The 24,076-nt window shown below is 37.2% G+C and overlaps 1 protein-coding gene across 2 annotated transcripts in view; it reads left to right on the top strand.

Annotated features, from left to right (window-relative positions):
- VPS13B (vacuolar protein sorting 13 homolog B) overlaps window positions 1-24,076 on the top strand; it is an 864,307-nt gene that overhangs the window by 563,011 nt on the left and 277,220 nt on the right. For both annotated transcript variants that reach the window (NM_152564.5, NM_017890.5), the window contains exon 33: window positions 1,206-1,349. In NM_152564.5, the coding sequence (NP_689777.3) occupies window positions 1,206-1,349 (144 nt within the window). The remainder of the gene's footprint in view (window positions 1-1,205; window positions 1,350-24,076) is intronic.

Consider the following 24,076-nt stretch of genomic DNA (forward strand, 5'->3'; position numbering starts at 1 on the left):
TATTTGCAAGTTTTCACAGGATGTATGCCACCAATAAAGCCAAGTTATTTTTAGTACAAATTTTTGTGCTCTTGGGTAATGTTACGGTGACTATTTTTTTTTAATCCTGAATTGGTATACTTTTTTCCCTTTTTGTCAATACTTGAGGAATAGAATAAGAATTCTAACTAGAGTGAATGAATACAGAGAACTTGTGGAGGAAAAAATTGTTTAACCAAAAAAAAAAGGATAATTATTTCAGACATGCTGTTCTTCATGGCTTTATTAAAAGCTGCTCTAAGCTGTCTCATTTGCATTTGGACTAGTCATAGTCTCCTTAAATCCATTCCTCTGGATGATACTATAAGGGGAAGATCTGTTGGACATTTCCAAGCATTTGAACATTGTCCACATGCACATCATGACAAGAGGCAGGACTTATTAAGTGAAACTATTGTATTGGTTTTTTGTTTTGTTCTGTTTTCCTTGTCTGAACGGTTTTCCAGTGATAAATGTTCAAGTGACTAGGTTTTGCAGAACAGCACCAATTAAGTTATGGACATCTACCCAATGCTGCCAAGATTTTAGCAGTTTAAAGAAGTGAAATTAATTAGTCTAGCTGTCTTTAGCTTCAACACTCCGTTTTCTTATAAATCATTTAGAGTATATCCTTTGGAGAATATTCATACTGTGGCTCTTAGCAATTAATTGCCTGCCTAAAATTGTCTGTTTACATCTGTCTGCCCAACTAGATTATAACCTCCTCAAGAGCAGGTTGCCCTTCAAGGCCGACATTATTCTTTGTGATATTCATAGGACTCTACTATCGTACCTAGTACTTAGGAAATGCTCAGTAAATATTAGTTGGTTTGAATTCATGAACAAGATTATGCTACACAATTATATTGTTGCTACATATTGAAAACAATAATAATAGTTGGAGTTATGGAAAAGTCAAATAGGTATGAAAAGGTGAAGACTTCTTATTGTTAGTTGTGTATATCTAGCACAAGGCCCAACACACAGCAGGCCCTCATAAATATGAAATTCATCTGTTAAATTGTGTCAAGTGGCTGTGCTCACCATTTTTGCTCTTCTCCTTAATGTATGAACTTGAGTCCTAGGAAATGTCACCAAAGTAGTGAAGGTCAAATAAGTAAGAATGATAAATTATCATCTGAAAGCTATCATGTTTCTTTATCTGTATTCTACCGTTTTTGCTTCAGGAGATTTTAGTGTGTGGCCATTCCTTAGAAGTGAATATAACCACAAACCTGGACTTCTTCCTAAGTGTGGCTCAAGTTCAACTCTTACATCAGTTAATAGTAGCAAATATGACTGGACTGGAACCATCAAACAAGGCTGCAGAGGTAACTGTTACCTGATTTTGATCAGGCTTACTGCATTTGTTCCAACTTTACATTCACAGTAGGAAAACTATAATTAAGCTGACTGCTTTCTGCTTAATTATTCTGTGTTTAACTTTATTCAAAATATAGTCATAAGTCATTTTGGATTGATATTCTTTATTTTAGAAATTTGTTTGGTCTCTATTCCTCTTATTTATCATGTACCTTTGCAAAATTGCTGTGGACTGACCTCAGAGGAACCTCTGTTATATACATAACTTTATTAGCCTGCTGAAGTTCTAAAGTATGATGCGAGAATCCTGGTATAGCTTTCATTTACTCGGATACATTACAGTAATAAGGCCTCTTTTGGAAGTGAACTTTCTAAGAGTACTATGGGAATATCTTCAATAAATAACTTGTAAAGCATTTGTTTCCCATGCTCAGTGGGAAATGAATGGACACAATCATAAAAGTTGAATGCCTGCCTAGAATTTTAATTTTGATACAGTGTTCATTGGAAGCCTGTATTGTAACCACAAAGTATGTCAGCAAGAAACAAAGAAAGCTATTTGTTAGATTCTTCTCAAGATATATTTTCTTTGCATTTTGTTTCCACATTTCTCTAACATTCTGTACTTAGAATAAATATTTTATAAAAACTCAGGTGAACAAACTGTTTATATATGAAAAAGATGTTGCTTTTATTTTTGTCATGAGTTGTAAAGAAAGCTTTAAGTTCTGTTTAGTAAGAAGGTAGGAAATGAAGAGGAATTTAGGTCTCAAGTCAGCACTGTTTCCATTCTGCCACAGATTATGTATTATAACTGTGACATTATTCTTTCAGTCTTCTTTATTTTTAAAAAAATTATTTTAAAATGATAAATCTTTTATCTTTTGTAAATGATTTTCTAATGTAATCATCCTTTACTAGCCATGATATCTATTTATTCAATATCTATTGTAAAAGGACTTTAGAACTACATATTGTCCAAAATATTGAGTTTTTAAATATACATTAGGGAATCCATAAAAATGTAATTATATGACATCAAAATAAGCAAATTAAAAAATATTTCCCCATGCATTTTCGATGAGGCCTCTGAAGCAAGTTGAGTTGGATAAAAGTAAATTACATTCCTATATTATTTGTGCCAATTTTATAAATGTCTCCTGTCAAAGAAATCTAACTCTCAGATCACTGATTGTTTTAGGATTCACATAACTTAGCAAATTGGTTATTAACTATTTATCTACATACTTTTAATGCCTCTTAGGGGGATCAATTTCAGTAAATAAAGGGATACTCGGAGTTACTAACTATCCTTCCCTGAATGTTGAATCATTACTGACAATTCCGTAAACTATATAGGCATTGTTTTCTTCTGCTTTAAAAAGGTATCTGTGGCTATGTGTTTCTTCTTAGAGATCATATTACAAGTACAGATGACATGAACATTTTTAAATGGTTAAAATGGTAAATTTTATGTTATGTATATATATCACAATTAAAAAATACAGGCTATATAATGAGAAAGGACTGTTTGGACCTTTTCCCAACCCTGGTGGGACATATCTGTAAAACTTTCCGTATTTTAGAAAAGACCTACAGTGCACTGGAAGAATATGATTCAATTTTTAAATTATTAGCAGAACTCATATCTGCTAGTCTATGAATATAAAGACATTTTAGTTACATAGAATACTCCATAATAAGTCAAAGGTATATTTTGAAAGGGCTAGTTGATTGCCTTTAGTGTGGTTTCACAACAACACTACCAGAATTTTTTTTTCTTTTTTTTTGAGATGGAGTCTTGCACTGTCGCCTGGGCTGGAGTGCAGTAGTGCGATCTCAGCCCACTGTAACTTCCACCTCTCAGGTTCAAACAATTCTCCTGCCTCAGTATCCCACGTAGCTGGGATTACAGGTGCCTGCCACCATGCCCAGCTAATTTTTTTGTATTTTTAGTAGAGACGGGGTTTCACCATGTTGGCCAGGCTGGTCTCCAACTCGTGACCTCGTGATCTGCCCTCCTTGGCCTCCCAAAGTGCTGGGATTACAGGCGTGAGCCACCGCGCCTGGCCTTTCTTTCTTTCTTTCTTTTTTTTTTAACACGGAGTCTCACTCTGTTGCCCAGACTAGAGTGCCATCTCAGCTCACTGCAATCTCCACCTCCTGGGTTCAAGCAATTCTCCTGCCTCAGCGTCCCGGGTTGCTGGGATTACAGGTGCATGTCACCATACCCAGCTAATTTTTGTATTTTTAGTAGAGACGTGATTTCACAATGTCAGCCAGGCTTGTCTTGAACTCCCGACCTCAGGTGATCTGGCCCCCTCAGCCTCCCAAAGTGCTGAGATTACAGGCGTGAGCTACTGTGCCTAGCCAACAATTTTTTTAAAAATTCCTTTTGAGAACAAAAGAAAAATAGGAAAATTAAACCTGGCTAAGTTATTGGGAAAATGGAGGAAGATATACATGTTAGTATATATAATATAATCCTGATATTATAAACAACTACTATTTCATAGGAATTATGGATTAATAATAAGAATCCCATTTATCAGGTTTTCTAGAAGGCACCCTGTGAATTATAGACCAGTAAATGTCAAATCTGTTCTAAGTCCACCATCTGATACTATGTTGATGCAACATAGTTCTATAAGAAGAAATTATGTATATTTAATTATGTATAATTAATATATATAACATTAAATATATATATATATATTTCTTTTCTTTTCTTTTCTTTTCTTTTGTTTAGTAGAGATGAGGTTTCACCATATTGCCCAGGCTGGTGTTGAACTCCTGGCCTCAAGGGATCCATCTGCCTTGGCCTCCCAAACTGCTGGGATTACAGGTGTGAGCCACCACACCTGGCCTAATGTAGTATATTTTTTGAAGGTGTTAACATTTTCAGACAACCTTTGGCAATATTTATTTGAAAGATTAATTTTGGCTGGGTGCCTAGTGGCTCACACCTGTAAGTCCAACACTGGGAGGCTGAGGTGGGCGGATTGCTTGAGCCCAGGAGTTCACAATCAGCCTGGGCAGGATAGTGAGTCCCCATTTCAACAAAAAAAAATTAAAAATTAGTTGCATGTGGTGGTGTGTGCCTGTAGTCCCAGCTACTCGGGAGGCTGAGGTGGGAGGATCACTTGAGCCCCAGAGGTCAAGGCTGAAGTGAGGTGTGATGGTGCCACTCCACTCCAGCATGGGTGATAGAGCAAGAGACCCTGTCTCAAAAAAATAAAAGGAAGATTAAAAATTATTCAAGAATAATATCACTTGGGAGGCCAAGGTGCGGGCAGATCACTTGAGCTTAGGAGTTCAAGACCAGCCTGGGCAACATGGCAAAACTGCATCTCTACAAAACACACACACACACACACACACACACACACACACACACACACACACAAATTAGGCAGGCATGGTGGCATGTGCCTTTAGTCTCTGCTACTTGCAGGGCTGAGGCAGGAGGATCACTTGAACCTGGGAGGTCGAGGCTGCAGTGAGCCAAGATCACACCATTGCACTCCAACCAGGTAACAAAGTGAGACCCTGTCTCAAAAAAAAAAAAGTATAATATGATAGGGGGATTATGTATTAGTGGAGGAAACATCTATTCAATAAACAAAGGGGAAAAATGCACATATCTTTGAAACTAGAAGTGAAAACCGTAAAGTAATCTGAGGATTCTTGCCAGAACCAATATTTAATATTAATTTTAATTAAAAAGACAACTAACACATAATGAAATTTACCAGTTCACAGCCAAAATGACTGGATGATGGATTAGGAAAATTGTCTCCCACATTAAACAAAAATTTTCCAATATTTTTGCTCTGAAAAATGTGTTTTAGATGGGGTGAGGCCACTAGACCAATGGGCCTGTATTCATACTATTAGATTTTCACTGTCCCCTTCAAGTACTATAATTTCCATGATTTCTAGCTCCCAGAATATTTGGTTTCTGCCTTTAAATGAACCTTATTTCTCTATACATACAGGTTGAGTCCCCTATCTGAAAACTCAAAATTTGAAATGCTTCCCTGAGCATTTTCTTTGAGAGTCATGTCACGTTAATACTAAAAAAATTTCAGATTTTGGAGCATTTTGGATTTTGAATTTTCCAATTAAGGATACTCAACCTGCGTTATGACAGGCTGAGAAATTACATAAAAGAAACAAATTTAATATTCAAAAATCAAAATGCATTCCATATTACAAAGTACATTTCCTTCCTTATCTAGCTCGCTGCGATAGTTCACCATCCCATTCTATATTTCATGTTTCCGTGACATCTGGCTCTAGAGGACTAGTACAACAGGCACGTTATTTGGGATTCTTACATGTTAGTTCCTTGCCTTTTACATGAGGTGAGAGTCAACCTTTTGGATACCTTAACAGCCAAAGCCAAATTTACAATTCTAAGTTTACTCCCAAAACAGAGCTCCACTACTCAGCCTTGATTTCTTAACCAGTGTTTAACAGGACTGTGGTTGACACAATTGGTTTACCCTTCAGAAGGTTCTTTACCTTCTTACAAGATAGTCTTAGTCTCATAAAGGCCCAATTATATAATCATGGGCATTAGTTTATTTATTATAATATGGTTTTATTTTTATCAAATTAGTAAGTGAATTTTAACAACCAAATTTTGCTAATGAAATACATCAAAGTAGCATCAATCCCTGATACCCTCACCTCATTCTGCCCAACAGTCAGCCACTCTTTATAAGCTGTTTCTTCAAGTATTTATTTCCATATTTCTAAATAACCTGAATGGCCTATCATATCTTGATTCCCTATTACCGTATTCACTTGCTATTTGTTGTTAATAAGGGTTCTATCTCTTCTGCACTTCCTTTCTACACTTCCATCTTCCCAGTATTCTTATATCATATTCTTTTTTGTCAATCTTAATTGTCTTCATTATAAAGATGATATAAATATTGTTCATTGCTTAGTGAATTAATGTAGTGTGATAATATTTCTTGTCATTTTACTATTGAAGTTACTCATTGCCACATTTTCTTTTTTTTCTTTTTTCTTTTTTTGAGATGGAGTCTCGCTCTGTCTCCCAGGCAGGAGTGCAGTGGCGCAATCTCGGCTCACTGCAAGCTCCGCCTCCTGTGTTCACGCCATTCTCCTGCCTCAGCCTCCCGAGTAGCTGGGACTAGAGGCGCCCGCCACCACGCCCGGCTAATTTTTTGTATTTTTAGGAGAGACGGGGTTTCACCGTGTTAGCCAGGATGGTCTCGATCTCCTGACCTGGTGATCCGCCTGCCTTGGCCTCCCAAAGTTCTGGGATTACAGGCGTGAGCCACTGCGCCTGGCCACTCATTGCTACATTTTCTATTTACTCAGTTTTTTAAAAATCTCTGTCTTCCCTCTCACTAACGCACACCCCATTCCCATCAGTGGCTCTACCATAATTCCTCGCAATTTAATTTTTCACACTGTAAAACTTATCGAATAGCATCACCTCTGCTTTTCCCCCCAGAGCCATTTTTCCTGAAGTTCTTTTTCTGCCTTCTCTGTTCTGGGACTGTTAGTTCTCTAGACCTGCGGCACACTTGGCATAAAACAGCCAGATGAGAGAAGATTGTGATTTGAGGTTGGTGTAAAGAATGTTAGAGAAAAATCTAGGGAACAATAAAATAATGTGTTCTTCTATTAATATAAATTAGTAAATTGACCAATATCTTTATTCTTTCATTCTAAAATATTAAGTATTATTATTTACTACATTAAAAAGTATAATAGTATAGAAAAATGTTGTCTGGCTAATATCTACTTGGATATTTAAAGTTTTTTATGAAATAGAAAATAATGCATTGGGCTTTTTTGCTATGAACTGTCATTGAGCTTATGCCATGTGAAGTGATGGTAGAGGTTGTTTGGGGTGGTATTTTACTGTTTTAACTTAGAAATAATCAGTTTTGTAGTTGTGCTTCATTTTAGGCATAGAAATTCTTGTCTTTTAGTAGAAAGTGAAAAATTCTCCAAGACATTCTTGACCAAACTAAGGATTGTCAGAAATAATTAGAAATAGGAACTTGAAGGTAAAGAAGAAGGAAAGGGACTTTAATTGTGTGGTTGCGTAATAACAGATGTCTTCTGGAATAGAATTTCAGGTAAGATGAGGGATATAGAGGAAATGAATAACCAAAATGCATGTGGGTAAAGGGGGGTTTGAGAGAGGAAACTGAGACTGGCATGAAGGAGTATGTCGATTTTCTGGTCGGTCTTGCTGCTTACTCTCTTGAGGTAGTCATGAATGGAAAAAGCCAGATCAGAGGCTACATATTTCTGTATTTAGGAAAGGAGATGGGAATTTTGGACGATATGCATAGGGTGACCTCCTATTGGTGTTGCTATGCTGAGTATTTTGTTTCCTTTCAGAGGCACCTGGATAGACCACTTGTAACCAGGCAATAAACACAGACTCCAGTAAAATATGGATTCAAGCAGAGCCTTAAAAGGACAAGAGGGGCTGTGACGGAATACCTCAAATTTCTTAAAATCTAGGCCTGGAAAAGATATTAAGTATTTTACTGCCTATCTTCTCCAAGGGAAGGATTTCTTAGGTACATTGAACTCTCACATCTGTCACAATTTTAGTTAGGCCTTGTCAACGTTAAAATTAGTGTAATTTTCTCCTGATAAACAAGCTTGTGCTGAGACAGGAAAACACCACAGTTGCCTCAAAGTAGATGTAAGACATCAAGAAGACAATAAAATTTTAAAATTTTCAGCCCCCATGATGTTTATCCCTATAGATTTCTTTGCCAGAAATCCAGTAAATGCGTTAAGTTTTCCTCAGGCTCCAGTAAACTGTCTACGCTAGTCTTATTAGGCATTGTTCATTGAGAGCTTACTATATGCCAGATACACTGGCTACAGTCTGACAGAGGTTTGAAAAATAAGTACACTATGGTCTCTGCCCTCTAGGCTTTTATAATCTGGTTGGGAAGTAAAGCATAGACAAATGGAATGATAACTAAGAACTCAGAGCAGTATATGAAAAGTGTTAAATATACTCTATGGAAAATTAGACTTATGAGTCCAGGGAAGAAAGAGAAGGCTTTAGGCCAGGTGATCAATGATCTAGCTTCATGGAGAAGTGGAATACATAGAAAAGAGTAGCCTATTTATTTATTCAATAAATATTGAATGCCTCCTATGCGTCAAATACTATTATGGATACTAGGGTGACAGCATTAAACAAAAGAGGTAATATTTCTGCTTTCATGTCTAATGCACATATATTTAGTAGGGAAGACAGACAATAATAAATATTTGGAACTACCTCAAAATATAAATACACCTACTCGTGTGCAGAGATTATATAGCTTTACATTTTCTGTAACTGACTTAATTTTTCTTACAAGCCTAAACTTCATTTAGATTAAGGATGTTGGTTGTTAGAGAAGAGAAGCAGTAAGGGAGTATACATTAAATTTGCCATCAATAAAAAATAGTTTCAACATGGAGAAATAGCATGAATAAAGACGTGGAGGTTTCTAAGCATTAGGATTTTTTGGTAGGACAGTGAAAAAAATTAATCTTTCTAGAGTGAAGGAACTGTGCAGGGAAATAATGGAAGATACACTAAGAAGTGTATATTTTATCACGAGCAGTTGGGAACCAAAGTTTATAGACTTGAATGAATGGTATGACATAGAAGAAATGGTATTTTAATGAAATTTGTTATGCTTAGTCTTTTTTGGCAAAGGATTTGAAGTGGCATTCAATAAAACATAAAAAATGAAAACTGCAGACTAATACCTCTGGAGAATATGGATGCAACAATCCTCAACAAAATGCTAGCAAACTGAATCCAGCAACATAGAATGAATTATACACTATGGCCACATGGGATTACCCAGAAATGCAAGGTTGGTTTAATATCTGAAAATCAATTAACGTAAAGCACTATATCGGTAGAATTTTTTAAGTCATATGATTATCTCAATAAGTGAAAAAAATTTTTAGACAAAATCCAATACCCTTTCATAATAAAAACATGCAAAAAACTAGGAATAGAAGGGAGCTTACTCAACTTGATAAATCACAGTTATGAAAAACTCACAATTATCATCATAGTTGATGATAAAAGACTAGATACTTTCCCCCTGAAATCAACAATAAGACAAGAATGTCTGCTTACATCACTTCTATTTAACATTGTACTGGAAGTTCTAGTTGGAGTAGTTAATTTCACCCAGTATGCTTCCAATCCCTTACTATGTTTAACTTTATAAGCAAAAACTGATCATATGGAGGTCCTCTTACAGAATGAGAGACTCTTAGAACTGTCAGGTACTTCAGAAATTGTGTTATTTAATTGATTCATTATCATTCATTAGCCCACATGAGAGTGAAACTCTACTTAGCCTCCTGCTGCCCTCTGTGAGCCTTCTTGCACTCCCCACTCCTCTTTTCAGTGGACACAACCAGAAAACCTCAAGTATCCTCAGAGTTTGACAGAAACGGGAGAGGGTATAAGCTTGATGCCATATTAAGCTGTTTTCCATTGGATGAGGAAAGCATAGCTTCCTGTTTGTTAAAACAGGATTTCTGTTTTCTTAAAACAGTATAGGTTCCTGATTCTTAAATTTCTTCCTGATAACTTCTTCTCTTAAATCCACATGATTTTTCTGATGGAATCCTTGCTAGAAAGCCAAGTTAAGGCCTCAGAGCTGTTCATTTATTTGCCATCCACCCTTCAGAAAATTCTTAGACTGGGTCAGTCAGCAGTCTATATCTATGCACTTAACTCACTGTCCAGGGCACCCAATCATTTATAGAAGAGGAAGATTCAACATAGTAATGTCTAATACCTGAGTCATCCCGTCTTCCCAACTAGTCTAGTCCTTCTTAATGAGTCTTACTGTCTGTCCCCCTATTTTTCTGTTATGGCCTGACTTTTAATATAAGGCTGATTCTGAATCAGATTAATCAAATGCATGTTAAATTTGAGTGGTGGTTTTGTGGGGAGAGGGAAAAGATGGGCCAGTAAACCCTAAAACACAGAGCAATTATTTTGCACATCTTTGAAAGTGCTTTACAACAAATGAAGAAACAGTCTATGCTCATGGATGGGAAGAATCAATATTGTGAAAGTGGCCATACTGTCCAAAGTAATTAATAGATTGAATGCTATTCCCATTAAACTACCATTGACACTCTTCCCAGAATTAGAAAAGAAAACTATTTTTTTTATACTTTAAGTTCTAGGGTACATGTGCACAACATGCAGGTTTCTTACATATGTATACATGTGCCGTGTTGGTTTGCTGCACGCATTAACTCGTCATTTACGTTAGGTATTACTCCTAATGCTATCCCTCCCCCATCCCCCCATGACAGGCCCCGGTGTGTGATGTTCCCTGCCCTGTGTCCAAGTGTTCTCATTGTTCAGTTCCCACCTATGAGTGAGAACATGCAGTGTTTGGTTTTCTGTCCTTCCAATAGTTTGCTCAGAATGATGGTTTCCAGCTTCATCCATGTTGCTACAAAGGACATGAACTCATCCTTTTTCACAGCTGCATAGTATTCCATGGTGTATATATGCCACATTTTCTTAATCCGATCTATCACTGATGGACATTTGGGTTGGTTCCAAGTCTTTGCTATTGTGAATAGTGCCACAATAAACATATGTGTGCATGTGTCTTTATAGCAGCATGATTTATAATCCTATGGGTATATACCCAGTAATGGGATGGCTGGGTCAAATGGTATTTCTAGTTCTAGATCCTTGAGGAATCGCCACACTGTCTTCCACAATGGTTCAACTAGTTTATACTCCCACCAACAGTGTAAAAGTGTTCCTATTTCTCCACATCCTCCCCAGCACCTGTTGTTTCCTGACTTTTAAATGATCTCCATTCCAACTGGCATGAGATGGTATCTCATTGTGGTTTTGATTTGCATTTCTTTGATGACCAGTGATGATGAGCATTTTTTCATGTGTCTGTTGGCTGCATAAATGTCTTCTTTTAAAGTGTCTATTCATATCCTTTGCCCACTTTTTGATGTGGTTGTTTGATTTTTTCTTGTAAATTTGTTTAAGTTCTTTGTAGATTTTGGATATTAGCCCTTTGTCAGATGGGTAGATTGCAAAAATTTTCTCCCATTCTGTAGGTTGCCTGTTCACTCTGATGGTAGTTTCTTTTGCTGTGCAGAAGCCCTTTAGTTTAATTAGATCCCATTTGTCTATTCTGGCTTTTGTTGTCATTGCTTTTGGTGTTTTAGACATGAAGTCCTTGCCCATGCCTATGTCCTGAATGGTAATGCCTAGGTTTTCTTCTAGGGTTTTCATGGTTTTAGGTCTAACGTTTAAGTCTTTAATCCATCTTGAATTAATTTTTGTATAAGGTGTAAGGAAGGGATCTAGTTTCAGCTTTCTACATATGGTTAGCCAGTTTTCCCAGCACCATTTATTAAAAAGGGAATCCTTTCCCCATTTCTTGTTTTTGTCAGGTTTGTCAAAGATCAGATGGTTGTAGGTGTGTGGTGTTATTTCTGAGGGCTCTTTTCTGTTCCATTGGACTATCTGTTTTGGTACCAGTACCATGCTGTTTTGGTTACTGTAGCCTTGTAGTATAGTTTGAAGTCAGGTAGCACGATGCCTCCAGCTTTGTTCTTTTTGCTTAGGATTGTCTTGGCAATGAGGGCTCTTTTTTGGTTCCATATGAACTTTAAAGTAGTTTTTTCCAATTCTGTGAAGAAAGTCATTGGTAGCTTGATGGGGATGTCATTGAATCTACAAATTACTTTGGACAGTATGGCCATTTTCACAATATTGATTCTTCTATCCATGAGCATGGAATGTTCTTCCATTTGTTTGTGTCCTCTTTTATTTTGCTTAGCAGTGGTTTGTAGTTCTGCTTGAAGAGGTCCTTCAGATCCTTTGTATGTTGTATTCCTAGGTATTTTATTCTCTTTGTAGCAACTGTGAATGGGAGTTCACTCATGATTTGGCACTCTGTTTGTTAATATTGTATAGGAATGCTTGTGATTTTTGCACATTGATTTTGTATCCTGAGACTTTGCTGAAGTTGCTTATCAGCTTAAGGAGATTTTGGGCTGAGACGATGGGGTTTTCTAAATATACAGTCATGTCATCTGCAAACAGGGACAATTTGACTTCCTCACTTCCTGATTGAATGCCCTTTATTTCTTTCTCTTGCCTGATTGCCTTGGCCAGAACTTCCAACACTATGTTGAATAGGAGTGGTGAGAGAGGGCATCCTTGTCTTGTGCTGGTTTTCAAAGGAAATGCTTCCAGTTTTTGCCCATTCAGTGTTTATCATAAATAGCTCTTATTATTTTGAGATACATTCCATCAATACCTAGTTTCTTGAGAGTGTTTAGCATGAAGGGCTGTTGAATTTTGTTGAAGACCTTTTCTGCATCTATGGAGATAATCATGTGGTTTTTGTCATTGGTTCTGTTTATGTGATGGATTATGTTTATTGATTTGCATATGTTGAACCAGCCTTGCATCCCAGGGATGAAGCAGACTTGATCATGGTGGATAAACTTTTTGATGTGCTGCTGGATTTGATTTTCCAGTATTTTTTTATTATTATTATACTTTAAGTTTTAGGGTACATGTGCACAACGTGCAGGTTTGTTACATGTGTATATATGTGCCATGTTGGTGTGCTGCACCCATTAACTCGTCATTTAGCATTAGGTATATCTCCTAATGCTATCCCTCCCCGCTCCCCCAACCCCACAACAGTCCCCAGTGTGTGATGTTCCCCTTCCTGTGTCCATGTGTTCTCATTGTTCAGTTCCCACCTATGAGTGAGAACATGCGGTGTTTGGTTTTTTGTCCTTGCGATAGTTTTCTGAGAATGATGGTTTCCAGTTTCATCCATGTCCCTACAAAGGACATGAACTCATCTTTTTTTATGGCTGCATAGGATTCCATGGTGTATATGTGCCACATTTTCTTAATCCAGTCTATCGTTTTTGGACATTTCGGTTGGTTCCAAGTCTTTGCTATTGCGAATAGTGCCGCTATAAACATACATGTGCCTGTGTCTTTATAGCAGCATGATTTATAATCCTTTGGGTATATACCCAGTAATGGGATGGCTGGGTCAAATGGTATTGAGGATTTTCGCATCAATGTTCATCAGGGATATTGGTCTAATATTCTCTTTTTTTATTGTGTCTCTGCCAGGCTTTGGTATCAGGATGATGTTGGCCTCATAAAATGAGTTAGGGAGGATTCCCTCTTTTTCTATTGATTGGAATAGTTTCAGAAGGAATGTTCCCAGCTCCTCTTTCTACCTCTGATAGAATTCGGCTGTGAATCCGTCTGGTCCTGGACTTTTTTTGGTTGGTAGGCTATTAATTACTGCCTCAATTTCAGAGCCTGTTATTGGTCTATTCAGAGATTCAGCTTCTTCCTGGTTTAGTCTTGGAAGAGTGTATAAGTCCAGGAATTTATCCATTTCTTCTAGATCTCCTAGTTCATTTGCATAGAGGTGTTTATAGTATGCTGTCATGGTGGTTTCTATTTCTGTGGGATCAGTGGTGATATCACCTTTATCATTTTTTTATTGCATCTATTTGATTCTTCTCTCTTTTCTTTATTAGTCTTGCTAGCAGTCTATCAATTTTGTTGATCTTTTCAAAAAACTAGCTTCTGGATTCATTGATTTTTTGAAGGGTTTTTTGTGTCTCTGTCTCTTTCAGTTCTGCTCTGATCTTAGTTGTTTCTTGCCTTCTGGTAGCTTTTGAATTTGTTTGCTCTTGCTTCTCTAATTCTTTTAATTGTCATGTTAGGGTGTCAATTTTAGATCTTTCCTGATTTCTCTTGTGGGCATTTAGTGCTATAAATTTCCGTCTACACACTGCTTTAAATGTGTCCCAGAGATTCTGGTACATTGTGTCTTTGTTCTCATTGGTTTCAAAGAACATCTTTATTTCTGCCTTCATTTCGTTATTTACCAAGTAGTCATTCAGGAGCAAGTTGTTCAGTTTCCATGTAGTTCTGTGGTTTTGAGTGAGTTTCTTAATCCTGAGTTCTAATTTGATTGCACTGTGGTCTGAGAAACAGTTTGTTGTGATTTCTGTTCTTTTACATTTGCTGAGGGGTGCTTTACTTCCAATTATGTGGTTAATTTTAGAATAAGTGTGATGTGATGCTGAGAATAATGTATATTCGGTTGATTTGGGGTGAGGAGTTACGTAGATGTCTATTAGGTCTGCTTGTTGCAGAGCTGAGTTCTGGTCCTGGATATCCTCGTTAACCTTCTGTCTCATTGATCTCTCTAATATTGATAGTGGGGTGTTAAAGTCTCCCATTGTTATTGTGTGGGAGTCTAAGTCTCTTTGTATGTCTCTGAGGACTTGCTTTATGAATCTGGGTGCTCATGTGTTGGGTGTATATATATTTAGTATAGTTAGCTCTTCTTGTTGAATTGATCCCTTTACCATTATGTAATGGCCTTCTTTGTCTCTTTTGATCTTTGTTGGTTTAAAGTCTGTTTTATCAGAGACTAGGATTGCAACCGCTCCTTTTTTTTTTTTTTTTTTTTGCTTTCCATTTGCTTGGTAGATCTTCCTCCATCCCTTTATTTTGAGTCTATGTGTGTCTCTGCATTTGAGATGGGTCTCCTGATGAATCCAGCACATTGACGGGTCTTGACTCTTTATCCAATTTGCCAGTTTGTGTCTTTTAATTGGGGCATTTAGCCCATTTACATTTAAGGTTAATATTGTTATGTGTGAATTTGATCCTGTCATTATGATGTTTACTGGTTATTTTGCCCGTTAAATGATGCAGTTTCTTCATAGCATCGATGGTCTTTACTATTTGGCATGTTTTCATGGTGGCTGGTACCAGTTGTTCCTTTCCATGTTTCGTGCTTCCTTCAGGAGCTCTTGTCAGGCAGATGTGGTGGTGACAAAATCTCTCAGCATTTGCTTGTCTGTAAAGGATTTTATTTCTCCTTCACTTATGAAGCTTAGTTTGGCTGGATATGAAATTCTGGGTTGAAAATTCTTTTCTTTAAGAATGTTGAATATTGGCCCCCACTCTCTTCTGACTTGCAGGGTTTCTGCCAAGAGATCAGCTGTTAGTCTGATGGGCTTCGCTTTGTGGGTAACCCGACCTTTCTTTCTGGCTGCCCTCAGCATTTTTTCCTTCATTTCAACCTTAATGAATCTCACAATTATGTTTCTTGGGGTTGCTCTTCTCGAGGAGTATCTTTGTGGTGTTCTCTATATTTCCTGAATTTGAATGTTGGCCTGCCTTGCTAGGTTGGGGAAGTTCTCCTGGATAATATCCTGAAGAGTGTTTTCCAGCTTGGTTCCATTCTCGTCATTTTCAGGTACACCAATCAAACATAGATTTGGTCTTTTCACGTAGTCCCATATTTCTTGGAGGCTTTTTTCTTTTCTTTTCTCTTTTTTCTCTATCTTCAATCACTGATACCTTTTCTTCCACTTGATTGAATCAGCTACTGAAGCTTGTGCATGTGTCACGTAGCTCTCATGCCATGGTTTTCAGCTCCATCAGGTCATTTAAGGTCTTCTCTACACTGTTTATTCTAGTTAGCCATTCATCTAATCTTTTTTCAAGGTTTTTAGCTTCCTTGCGATGCATTCGAACATCCTCCCGTAGCTTGGAGATGTTTGTCATTACCAGCTTTCTGAAGCCTACTTCTGTCAGCTCGTCAAAGTCATTCTCTGTCCTGCTTTGTTCCATTGCTGGTGAGGAGCTACGATCCTTTGGAGTAGAACGGGCGCTCTGGTTTTTAGAAATTTCAGCTTTTCTGCTCTGGTTTCTCCCCATCTTTGTGGTTTTATCTACCTTTGGTCTTTGATGCTGGCGACCTACAGATGGGGTTTTGGTATGGATGTCCTTTTTGTTGACGTTGTTGCTATTCCTTTCTGTTTGTTAGAAAAAAACTTTTTAAAAATTCAAATGGAACCAAAACAGAGCCTGAATAGCCAAGATAATTCTAAGCAAAAAGAGCAAAGCTGGAGGCATCACACTACCAGACTTCAAACTATGCTATAAGGCTACAGTAACCAAAACAGCATGGTACTGATACAAAAACAGATACATAGACCAATGAAACAGAATAGAGAACTGAGAAATAAGACTGCACACCTACAACCATCTGGTCTTTGACAAACCTGACAACAACAAGCAATAGGGAAAGGACTCTCTGTTTAATAAATGGTGCTGGGAGTGCTGGCTAGCCATATGCAGAAAATTGAAACTGTACCCCTTCCTTACACCATATGCAAAAGTTAACTCAAGATGGATTAAAGACTAAAATGTAAAACCCCAAACTGTAAAAACCCTAGAAGAAAATCTAGGCAGTACCATTCAGGACATAGGCATGGGCAAAGATTTCATGACGAAGATGCCGAAAGTAACCCAACAAAAGCAAAAATTGACAAATGGGATCTAATTAAACTAAGGAACTTCTGCACAGCAATAGAAACTATCATCAGAGTGAACAGACAACCTACAAAATGGGAGAAAAATTTTGCAAACTAACCATCTGACAAAGGTCTAATATCCAGAGTCTACAAGGAACTTAACCAAATTTACAAGAAAAAAAACAACCCCATTAAAAAGTGGGCCAAAGACGTGGACAGATACTTCTCAAAATAAGACATACATGTGGTCAAGGAACATGAAAAAAAGCTCAGGATCACTGATCATTAGAGAAAGGCAAATCAAAACCACAATGAGATACCATCTCACACCAGTCAGAATGGCTATTCTTAAAAAGTCAAAAAACAACAGATGCTTGCAAGGTTATGGAGAAAAACGGAATGCTTTTACACTGTTGAGTGGGAGTATAAATTCAACCATTGTGTGAGACAGTGTGGTGATTCTTCAAAGACCTAGAGGCAGAAACACCATTTGACCCAGCAATTGCATTACTGGTTATATACCCAAAGGAATATAAATCCTTCTGTTATAAAGATACATGCACGTATATGTTCATTGCAGCACTATTCACAATAGCAAAGACATGGAATCAACCTAAATGCCCATCAGTGATAGACTGGATAAAGAAAATGTGGTAAGTATACACCATGGAATAGTGTGCAGCCATAAAAAGGAACAAGATCGTGTACTGTGCAGGGACATGGATGGAGTTTAAAGCCATTATGCTCAGCAAACTAATACAAGAATAGAAAACCAAACACCACATGTTCTCACTTATCAGTGGGAGCTGAATGATGAGAACACATGGACACAGGTTGGGGAACAACACACACTGAGGTCCATGGGTGGAGGGGTGAGGGAGGGGTGGAGAGATGGAGAATATCAGGAAGAATAGCTAATGGATGCTGCACCTAATACCTAGGTGATGGGATGATCTGTGCAGGAAACCACCATGGCACAGATTTACCTATGTGACAAACCTGCACATCCTGCACATGTACCACTGAACTTAAACGTTAAAGGAAAAAAAAATGCTTTTCTTTTGCATCAGGGGAGTTAAGAGAGAATGGAGAGAATTGTTGCAGATAAGGTCTGTTTGTTGATTTTTCTCAGGATATGAGTCTCGGGGGACATGTAAGAAAGAAAACATAGTGGTCAAGAACTTGAGCTTTGTTGTTGGAGTCCGGCAATAAATCCCATCTCCTGTGTTTACTTTCTGTGTGGCCTTGGACATGTTACTTTAATTCATGTGAGCTTCAATTTAATCATCTGCAAAATTGAGATAATAATAGTCTTCCCCAATGGGGTTGTTGTAGAGATTAATTGGGAAGCTGTTTCTTAAGCATTTTCCATAGTGATTGTTATATAATAAGAACTCAATAAAAGCCATCACCATCATTGTCATCTCATCTAGAGATCGTTAATTTTCATCTCTTTTTCTATCTACTACATTATATCTTGCCCAAGATCCTTCTCCTGTTTGCTTGATTATAGAGCATATATGACTATTGCTTAATGTTTTTGAGCTTGATTGGATAAAAGAATGATGTAATATTATGCTCCAATGTCCTATTTATCATCTGGCAGGCTTTGAAAGGGTGTCTGTTCCATAGACTTCTGTCCAGTTGATAACACAGTTTGCTCCAGCAGCTTATTCCTCAGGTAAATGAGATCTTGCTGAAACTACAGTTGATAGTGAGATGCTTCTGTAAGCACTGGGGTTTTTTTCAGGTGGCAGACTAACAGAAGGATGTGTGTATCCCACTGCTTTGCTCTGCTCACCTTGCTCTTTTCACTCAGGATTCACTGTTGACTTTTCTCAGCCATAGGAAAGGTTTACATAACCAATCTTCATGAAATCAGTTAGGACTGTTATTAATGGGTCACTGTCAAATTAATTATTGCTGAAATTTTAGCTCTTTGCAATAGATGAAGCAACTGTTAAAGCTGCATTGAAAGACACTTGCATTTTCTCCTCAAAGATTCATTATTCCCAGTGTTTCTCTTCATAAGCTCTGTATGGTTAGTGACCCATATATGACCCTCTAAAATTGTTAAGAGCTTCAAAAGTCAATCCTATATTGAGTGCCCTATATTTTTTTGAACTATTTGTTGGGGGTTACATATAGATGAAAAATGTTAAACTTTCATTAATATAAAAATGTATGACAAAGCAACAGCAATCAAGACAATATGATACTGGCATAAGGATAGACATATGGATCAATGAAATAGAATTGAGAGTTCAGGTACTAACTCTCCTGTTTATAGTCAATTGATTTTTGACAAGGTAGTCTAGATCATTCAGTGGAGGAAAGAATAGTATTTTCAAGGAATAATGCTAGGATGACTGGATATTCCCATGCAAAAGAATGAAGGAAAATGCCTAAATCATATCATATGTAACTCAAAATGGATCAAAGACCTAAATATAAAGAGCTAAAACTATAAAAATCCTTGAAGAAACTATAGGTGAAAATGTTCATGATGTTTGATTAAGCAGTGTTTTTTTAGATATGACACCAAATCACAAAAACTAAAAAGAAAAAGAATAGATAAATGGAACTTTAAAAACCCTGAAGCTTTTATGCTTCAAAGGACATCACCCAGAAAGTGAAAAGACAACCCATAGAATCAGAGAAAATATTTGCTAATCATATATTTGCAGAATGGGAGAAAATATTTGCTAATCATATATTTGATAAGGGACTTCTATCTAGACTGTAAAAAGGACTCTTATAACTCAGGAATAAAAATGCAAATAACCCAATTTTTAAATGGGCTCAAAGAATCTTAATAAACATTTCCCCAAAGATGTTGTAGAAATAACCAATAAGCACATGAAAAGTTTCTCAGTATTATGAACCATCTAGGAAATGCAAATCAAAGCCACAAGAAAACACCACACTGACTAGGATGGCTACAGTCAAAAAAAGTCAAATAATAACAAGTTTCGACAAGAATGTGGAAAAATTGGAACCCTCTTACACTGGACCAGAATGTTTACCTACATAACCTACTGCTCCAGTGACATTTGGGGCACATTTGCAAAATTCTGAGAGTTGAATAGATCAGCATTTGACAACTACTGCACTAAAGTATCTTCTCTGAAAAGAATTTTGCTGTAAGTTCTTTTTTTTTTAAACAGAAACTATCATGTTTTGGGTTACATAGCTCCCCAACTGGAGCCTAGAGTAGCTAAGACGTGGTACTTCTGATTAAAGACAGATACATACGCTTAGGAAACCAGATGGAAATGGACAAGTTAGCAGAGAAGTTTATTGTGAAAATAAGGGTTAGAACATTTCACTTGGAGACTGTTTTAGCTGCATGTCACAGACACTCAAAATAGATATGAGTTTCTTTTTCTCAGGTAACAGTCCTTAGGTCAGTAGTCTAAGACTGGTATAGTGGCTCTGCTCCCTAAGGTCAATCAGAGACCCTGTCTCCTCTCTTGTTGTTAATTTATCATCTCTGAGGTATCTCACTGGCTTGGTCCAAGATGGCTTACCATGTCTGTGTTATAAGCAGCAGATTAGAGCATAGGGGAAATGAAACAGAAAGTAGGGACCCCTCCCTACAAGGACAAACTCTGACGTTGCGTGTAGCAGTTATGCTCACATTCCATTGGTCAGAATTTAGCCATGTCGTCACACCCAGCTCCAAGTGAGGCTGAGAAATGTAGTCTTTTTTCTTTTATTCTGCCTGTATAATTGCAGAATAGAAATATAGTATTTTACATGTGCCCTGCTAAAAATTGTTTTTCTGCTGTGTGCCCTGCTAAAAATTATTCTACTATGAAAGTAGGTGACAACAGATATTGGAGTACAACCAGCATCCGTAGCTAGAGAGTCTTCAGGGTTACCTGGTAGGCAGTCATGATATTCCTCAGAAAGCAGCTTTGGTTCTTCCTCAATACTTCGAACATATCCTCAAATAGATCCTAAAGTTCTATATCATATAATATGTCAGAAATAGTGTTAGCTTGCAAATTGTTCAGTACGTCTATAGTGACAAATATTGTCTTTTCCTATTGGTTCTACCCCTCTTCATCTGACGATGAACTCCCTTTTCTTTAGGTAAACAATAGTTTCCTATTCCATTGTGGTTTTGATGGGGCTTCCCATTATAGGGTCGCCCTGTGACACTGGCCTGGCCAATTGTTGTACTCCATCCTCCTGACATTTACTGGGTGATCTGATCACAGGGCCCAGACAAGGATAGTGTTTCATATGAAGACAGTGAGAAAGGTAAACTGTCTTTCCTGTAGTTAAATAAGTTTAGGTATAATACTGAAGCTTTCATTGTTCATGCTCCATCCTTCTTTACCACTGTCGTATGAAGAAAACCTGTCAGTGTTAGAGAGAGAAAAAGAGAGAAGGAGCCAAATGAACAGAAATAAGCAAACTTGAGAGACAAAGTCTTGATGACATCATCTGATTCCCTTGACACAGTTCTGGTCAATGAGGTGTAAAGAGAAGTGTTCTACAGATTTCTGGGAAAGTCTTTACTTTCTTTCTCCTCCTCCTCCTTGGAATAACAGTGATGGAAGTGACCAGCCACTTGTGACCATGTGATGACAAACAAGAGGAGAAAACACAGTAAGGATAACAAAGTGGACAGAGAAAATGGTCCTAAGATATCAGTGACATCATGCAGCTACTGCACCAGCCCTAACTTTAGGTTATGTGAGCAAAATAAACCTAAACAGTTAAGTCGTTGGTATTTGGCTCACTATTACATAAAGCCAAGCACAATCCTTACTGATCAGATGTTCTTACAGTATTCTAAGTCTGAGATGATAAAACCCAGGGAAAATACTGAGCACACAATGGACTTCAATGCTGAATAAATACTTGCTGAGTGAATTAATAAATGGATTCCTGAATTCATAGTAATTCTCATTTCTGTTCCTAGAAGTAGAAAAAATAAGATGTATACAACATATACTTCAAAAGAATTGGAAGAAATTGTTGGCTAACTCCATGTTTGAGGGAGACAGATAGGTTAAGTACATACCATGGAGTGCTTTGAATATCAGATTGAAATGTTTTGCTTAAGTCAGTGAGCAATAGAGAGAAGTTGGTGTTTGTGCAGCTAGACAATGACTTAAACAGGTGTGCCTGAAAGTTCAGATCCGTTTTAGTCTGAAGCTCTCAGTTGTGCTCCCACATCGATAATAGTCATCTGTAATTATGTGATCTTCAAACATAAATATTATAGTTACATTTTACCTGTTGTATTATAATGAGGACCTATTATCTCATTATTTAGTAAGGAAATATCTGTACTATGTAGTATCACCCATTGTTTTCAGAAGCTACAATTGTTATTGATTATATAGAAGGGCGAGAGTGCTGAGATTGCCCTGGGTTACGTTCATTTGGCTGCAGTAATTATTCATTTATTCCTGAATAGCAAGTAATCATCTTATTAAGTCTACTTACAGAGGTAGTGTATGTAAAGACTAACACATGCTCATTTTCAAATCAGTGATTCAGAATAAATAAAACTTTTGTAGGAAAATATAAACCATGTTTTTAGGGGCAAAGAATAGAACCACATCATTGGAGATCTGATGTGGGAGTTCTTTGATCTCTGCACTACATATCCTGGAGAAGAAAATAAAGACAACTTATAACACTAATTGAGCATTCCTTCCTTTGCCTTCTCCCCTTCCTCCTCCTCCTCCACTTAACCACTTGGTTTTAGGCACTTCCTTAGCCCTCCCTTCCCTTCAGTCCCCAGTGTAGATCCACTTGGTAACCTGTCCATGAATGTTTGGTGCCTGTTCTTATGCTGTCTTTGATAGTTAAAAATTATGATTTTTTAAAGTAAAATCTCATTTGCAAAAAAAAAATTACTTTAGCCAACATAAAATATACAGTACTTAGTTCACCATTTCTAAACATTTCTAAAGTAGTGGTTATTTCTATCCAATGTAAAGTTTCCCTTTCCCCAGACTTTTTGCCATTATTTATTGTATTTGACTTCTCTACAACTATCTAAAGAATAAAGAACTACATAAAACACTATATTCAACTCTCTATGAAGCATGATAAATTTACATTTTTTAAAATATTGTACTCAAGCTGGTAAGAACAGGTAAAACTCCCTTTGCTCCAGCTACATCTCCATCTCAGTCAGCCCCTGTCCTCTCAAGGTTACTATTAATATCTGCCTTCCTGTCTCCCCGGGCCTCTCCCATCTACTCCTCTGTAATTTCCATTTCTTCCCATTCATGCTAAATTATGTCATCTCTCTGACCCTGAATTTTCTCTTGAATAATTGTTTTTTCCTCACCTACTGTTCTCTGATTTCTAATGCTTTTAATACCATGTACTTGTGACACACAAAAATATTTGTGCAGAAGGAGGAAAGTCCTAGGAAAATCGGTTCTAACTAATTTATGATCTTTTCCAAGTAAAAATGTGACAAATGAGCAGGCTGTTCAAAATAATTAAGGGTCCGTGGTTTGCTTGGTTTCCTATCTGAGTTTGTACTTTTCTAACAAGCAACTTCTGGGCTTTTGGTTACTATTACATAAAGGAATAGACTTTTAAGAAAAATTAACATTAGAGCCATGGAAGTGTATATAATTCTCATCTAAGATTTCAGACATTTTTAGATTGCTTATTTCTAGAACTTTGGCTCTTCCTCAAAGGTTTTCCACAGCAAATGACTTAAAATCCTCTCAGATAATAGAGGAATAAAAAATAAACACCATGGCTTAAACCCCGTAATCTTCCTTCTACATTTTTTAAGATTCTCGGACTTTAGCAAATGCCACAGGTGGCCCCTCACCATTCTTTCTGAAGACTGGCCCATTTAGTAGTGTACCTTTGAGAGACAAAAAATACACTGGGGAGATGGAAGGCTTTGATGATGCTGGTGGTTACCCAAATGTATACATTTGTCCATGCCCATTCAACTGTACATTTTTAAAGGGTGAATTTTATTGTTTACAAATTATACTTCAGTAAACCTAGCTTTAAAAATTGTTGGGCTACTCAGTGCAGCTTTTGTCAGAATGTGTATTACTTAGGCAACTACCCAGGATCCATAACACCATAACACCAGCTAACATATTGGGAACTCACCCTGTGTGAGACAGTAGTCTAAGTGTTTTATATAGGTTAACTCCTTTAATCTTCATAATCACTCTCTGAATTTGGGGTTACTTTTCAGATTGGATAGATATGGAAACAAAGTCTCAAGGAAGTCCTGTAACTTGTACCTAGCTAATAATTATCAAAGCCAGGTGGGCAGGCACACTCTCTCACATACACACCCCACTTG

Source organism: Homo sapiens, chromosome 8 (genome assembly GCF_000001405.40).
Source record: "Homo sapiens chromosome 8, GRCh38.p14 Primary Assembly".
In the NCBI taxonomy this organism is placed as follows: Eukaryota; Metazoa; Chordata; class Mammalia; order Primates; family Hominidae; genus Homo; species Homo sapiens.